This window comes from Homo sapiens, chromosome 1, assembly GCF_000001405.40.
Source record: "Homo sapiens chromosome 1, GRCh38.p14 Primary Assembly".
Taxonomy (NCBI): Eukaryota; Metazoa; Chordata; class Mammalia; order Primates; family Hominidae; genus Homo; species Homo sapiens.
In genome coordinates, this window is record NC_000001.11 from 91,641,626 (window position 1) to 91,646,665 (window position 5,040).

The 5,040-nt window shown below is 41.8% G+C and overlaps 1 pseudogene, besides 1 other annotated feature; it reads left to right on the top strand.

Moving 5' to 3' along the window:
• HSP90B3P (heat shock protein 90 beta family member 3, pseudogene) lies at positions 893–2,716 on the top strand (annotated as a pseudogene).
• Positions 3,230–3,796: an enhancer, noted in NCBI's record as "OCT4-NANOG hESC enhancer chr1:92110412-92110978 (GRCh37/hg19 assembly coordinates)". NCBI's record gives its function as "activates a minimal SCP1, AML or CMV promoter by ChIP-STARR-seq in naive and primed H9 embryonic stem cells {active_cell/tissue: H9 hESC(naive and primed)}" and the evidence as "EXISTENCE:reporter gene assay evidence [ECO:0000049][PMID:30033119]".

A 5,040-nucleotide genomic window follows, 5' to 3' on the forward strand; every position in this document is an offset into this window, starting at 1 on the left:
CTTTTGCATCTTCCTCATTTTCTCTTGCCACTGCCCTGTAAGAAGTGCCTTTCGCCTCCCGCCATGATTCTGAGGCCTCCCCAGCTATGTGGAACTGTTAGTCCAATAAAACCTCTTTTTCAGCCAGGCGTGATGGCTCACCCCTATAATCCCAGCACTTTGGGAGGCCGAGGTGGGTGGATCACAAGGTCAAGAGATCAAGACCATTCTGGCCAACATGGTGAAACCCCAACATGGTGAAACCCCGTCTCTACTAAAACTACAAAAATTAGCTGGGCGTGGTGGTCGGTGCCTGTAATCCTAACGACTCAGGAGGCTGAGGCAGGAGAATTGCTTGAACCCGGGAGGCGGAGGTTGCAGTGAGCTGAGATCACACCACTGCACTCCAGCCTGGCAACAGAGTGAGACTCCATCTCAAAAACAAACAAACAGACAAAACTCTCTTTTTCTTCCCAGTCTCGGGTATGTCTTTACCAGCAGCGTGAAAACGGACTAATACTGACCCACGCGCTCACTGCATCACTGATGCTGAGCAGGAATGGTGGGAGGAGCACAGAATGCCTCCTCCCAATCAGGGTATTTTCAGTCTCTTCTGTGGTGAGAAACTTTTTGAGGATCCAGGATTTCAAAGCAAAGAGGCGCTGAGGCCAACATTGAAATGGTTGCTCCACCCTTTCCACTCCTCCTCCTACAAAATTCCACAGCTTGGTCTCCACATTTCATTCTTATTCCTTGACAGGGATACAACACTACACTAACCTTTTTTGGCTATAACTTGTGTCATGTAAACGGCAAAATGCTGGTGAATACTGTGCTACCTGGAATGGAGATTTGCAAGGTGCTAATGGGGAAATTAAAATTACAGCCTGAGGTGGGCAGACCGTGCGGCTGGAGCAAGGTTGAAACTGTTGAGGAGCCCATGGAGGTAGAAGAAGCAGCAAAAGAAGACAAAGAAGAATCTGATGATGAAGCTGCAGTAGAGGAAGAAAAAGAAGAAAAGAAATCAAAGACTAAAAAAGTTGAAAACACTGTCTGAGACTGGGAACTTATGAATGATATCAAACCAGTATGGCAGAGACCATCAAAAGAAGTAAAAAAAAAAAAAGGTAGAAGATGAATACAAAGCTTTTTACAAATCATTTTCAAAGGAAAGTGATGACCCCATGGCTTATATTCACTTTACCACTGAAGGGGAAGTTACCTTCAAATCAATTTTATTTGTACCCACATCTGATCCACGTGGTCTATTTGATGAATATGGATCTAAAAAGAGTGATTACATTAAGCTGTATGTGCTCTGTGTATTCATCACAGATGAATTCCATGATATGATGCCTAAGTACCTTAATTTTGTCAAGGGTGTGGTGGACTCAGATGATCTCCCCTTGAATGTTTCCCTTGAGACTCTTCAGCAACATAAACTGCTTAAGGTGATTAGGAAGAAGCTTGTTTGTAAAACTCTGGACAAGATCAAGAAGATTGCTGGTGAGAAATACAATGATAATTTTTGGAAAGAATTTGGTACCAACATCAAGCTTGGTGTGATTGAAGACCACTCCAATCAAACATGTCTTGCTAAACTTCTTATGTTCCAGTCTTCTCATCATCCAACTGACATTACTACACTAGACCAGTATGTGGAAAGAATGAAGGGAAAACAAGACAAAATCTACTTCATGGCTGGGTCCAGCAGAAAAGAGGCTGAATCTCCTCCATCTGTTGAACGACTTCTGAAAAAGGGCTGTGAAGTTATTTACCTCACAGAACCTGTGGATGAACACTGCATTCAGGCCTTTCCCAAATTTGATGGGAAGAGGTTCCAGAATGTTGTCAAGGAAGGAATGAAGTTTGATAAAAGTGAGAAAACTAAGGAGAGTCATGAAGCAGTTGAGAAAGAATTTGAGCCTCTGCTCAATTGGATGAAAGATAAAGCCCTTAAGGACAAAATTGAGAAGGCTGTGGTGTCTCAGCACCTGACAGAATCTCTGTGTGCTTTGGTGGCCAGCCAGTACGGACGGTCTGGCAACACGGAGAGAATCATGAAAGCACAAGCATACCAAACGAGCAAGGACAGCTCTGCAAATTACTATGCAAGTCAGAAGAAAACATTTGAAATTAATCCCAGACACCCACTGATCAGAGACATGCTTTGATGAATTAAGGAAGGTGAAGATGATAAAATAGTTTTGGTTCTTGCTGTAGTTTTGTGTGAAACAGCAACGCTTCGGTCAGGATATCTTTTACCAGACACTAAAGCATATGGAGATAGAATAGAAAGAATCCTTCGCTCAGTTTGAACATTGACCCTGATGCAAAGGTGGAAGAAGAACCCAAAGAAGAACTTGAAGACACAACAGAAGACACAGAGCAAGATGAAGACAAAGAAACGGATGTAGGAACAGATGAAGAAGAACAAGAAACAGCAAAGGAATCTACAGCTGAAAACGATAAATTGTAAATTATACTCTCACTGTTTGGATCCTGTGTGGAGAGCGAATGTGGAATTTAAGTCATTTCTTTTGGGAGAGACTTGTTTTGGATGCTCCCCACAGTCCCCTTCTCCCCTGCACTGTAAAATTTGGGATTATGGGTCACAGGAAGAAGTGGGTTTTTTAGTTGAATTTCTTTAACACTCCTCATGTATGTTAAATTTGTACTATTAAACTGACCATTCTTGATGTAAAACCTTGTCATGTGTATAAAAAAAAAAGATTCCCCTCCTAAAAAAAAATTACAGCGTGAAATCGCAAGGGGCTTCAAGATAGTTTAAAATCCTCTCCACTATTTACCCCATCTTTAAAAAATGCTTCAGACTGTGGGAAAACTAAAGTGGCTCTCTGTAATTCCTGGATATGGCAATTGAGTAGGAAATGTGGCTTTGAGGGGACCAAATTTAGAAGTAATTGAAGAGGCAGCACCATCTAACTGATGGAGAATCCGACTGGATTTTCTGTTCCTTCATCCATTGAGCTGGCTTGACACTTCCCTTCTCAGTGCTTTTGTTTGATTTTTTGTAAAATGAGAGTCACGCTACTAGATAATCTCCAGAGACCTGTATAAGAGTCTATGAAATTTTTTTTAGATGTTGAAATATTTTTAGACTTTGCACAATTATTAAATGTATTGAGATACCTGATAAATATATTTATTAATAAAATGGTATAGGCAAAGAGCATAGACAGATGATTCATAAGAAAAAATACACATAATTAATGAACATTTCCAAAGGTCACTTTTACTAATAATCACAATTTTCTACTTATCCCAACAATACATATTTTTTAAAAACAGTTCACACTAAAGAGTCATATGCAGAGTGTTGAGATAATCTTGTTTGCTTGGAAGGTCATGGAGATGCAGATAAACCTCCAAATCCAGCAGGGTCTAAGCAGGATGGGGACCTGATTTTTTGCAGCCTGCTCCACCCATTGACTTTTGTGATGGACTCGGTTAGTTTTGTCTGCCTGCTTTCTGGGTCCTTTTCTTCTACTGTCAGCACTCCCCAGGTAGCCACTCATCCCCAACTCTCAGGCCATTTGTTTTGTGAATGCTGGGCAACACCGCCCCCACCACCCCCATCGACTCCAGTAGAATTTAATTCTTGGGCTTTGGTCAGAATGATCAGGAAAGCGACATTCCTTTCTGCTAGCACTAATAGCTTTAAGAATGCACAGGCCAGGAGTTGCTGTGCTGCGACGAGAGGGCCTGACTGAAAAGAAAACCAACACAAGGAAAGCTGTAGGGATATAGGACAAACCAAAGTGTTTTTTCCTACCCTCTACTCTCACACAGTCACTCAGTATAATACTTCAGACACCAGATGTGGGGGTGGTCTTCCCCCACACACCAAGCAATCCTGCAGATGATTCTCTGATGGATACAAGTTGAGTGTCTTCAAATCAAATTCTATTCTATTCTCACACTGTCTTCCTGAAGATAGCAAGAGATCCCACAGGTTGAGGGCTCAGTCCCATGACACTGCCCCCACTTCAGAATGCCAGTTGCAAGTGTAGGATGTGACCAGTGTTTCTGACCAACCAGCTATAAACTGGGGTGTTCCCAACCCCTTCCTTGGGTTCCGTTAATTTGCCAAGCGGCTCACAGAACTCAGGGAAACAGTTTACTTACATCGAGCCATTTATTATATAGTATATTACAAAGGATACAGATGAACAGCCAGGTGAAGAGATGCACAGGGCAAGGAAAGTGGGAGGGAACCTGGAGCTTTCATGTCTTCTCTGGGTGCCTTACCCTCCAGGCACCTCCATGTGTTCAGCTATCTGCAAGTTCCCAGAACTCAGTCCTTTGGGGTTTATATGTAAGCTTCATTACATATAATGATTCAATCGTGATTAAATTATTGGTCACTGGTTTATCAACCCAACCTTCAGTCCCTCCCCACTCCCCAGAGGTCAGGAGGTGTGGGGTAGAAAGCTCCACCCCGCTAATCACATGGCTGGTTTCTCTGGCCACCAGCCCCCATTCTGAGGCTATCTGGGAGCCCCAGCTACCAGTCATCTCATTAATATACAAAAGACACTCATCACTCAGGAGATTTCAAGGATTTGGGGAGCTTTATGTCAGGAAACAGGACAATGAGCAAAAATATATTTCAAAATATTACAAAAGCAAAGCCTAGAGGGTCAAGTCCTGATGACTTCATATGAGTTCTTGGATCCAGTCATGCCTGAAGATGGTCCTATCCATAGACGTTTTATGTCATTATTTTTGAAGTAATATAATATACAGAGTATTAAAAGCCAAATAATATTACAACATCTACAAACTGCAACAACAGAAGTCTCCTGCCTATTCCTTCCCACCCCTTTTGTCTTCCTCTTTAGTGTTTTCTGCTACTTTATATTGTGTTTATCTCCATATATCTAACCAATAAGGCTATCCTGCTATTTCTCAGATCAATACTTCTCATATGTTCCCTCATGACTTTCTTTGTGGAAGAAAAGGATTTAGCACTATTTTCTCACTAACTATCCCTCACCCAACTTCATCTTTCTAAAATAGATATTTTACAATTTTTTG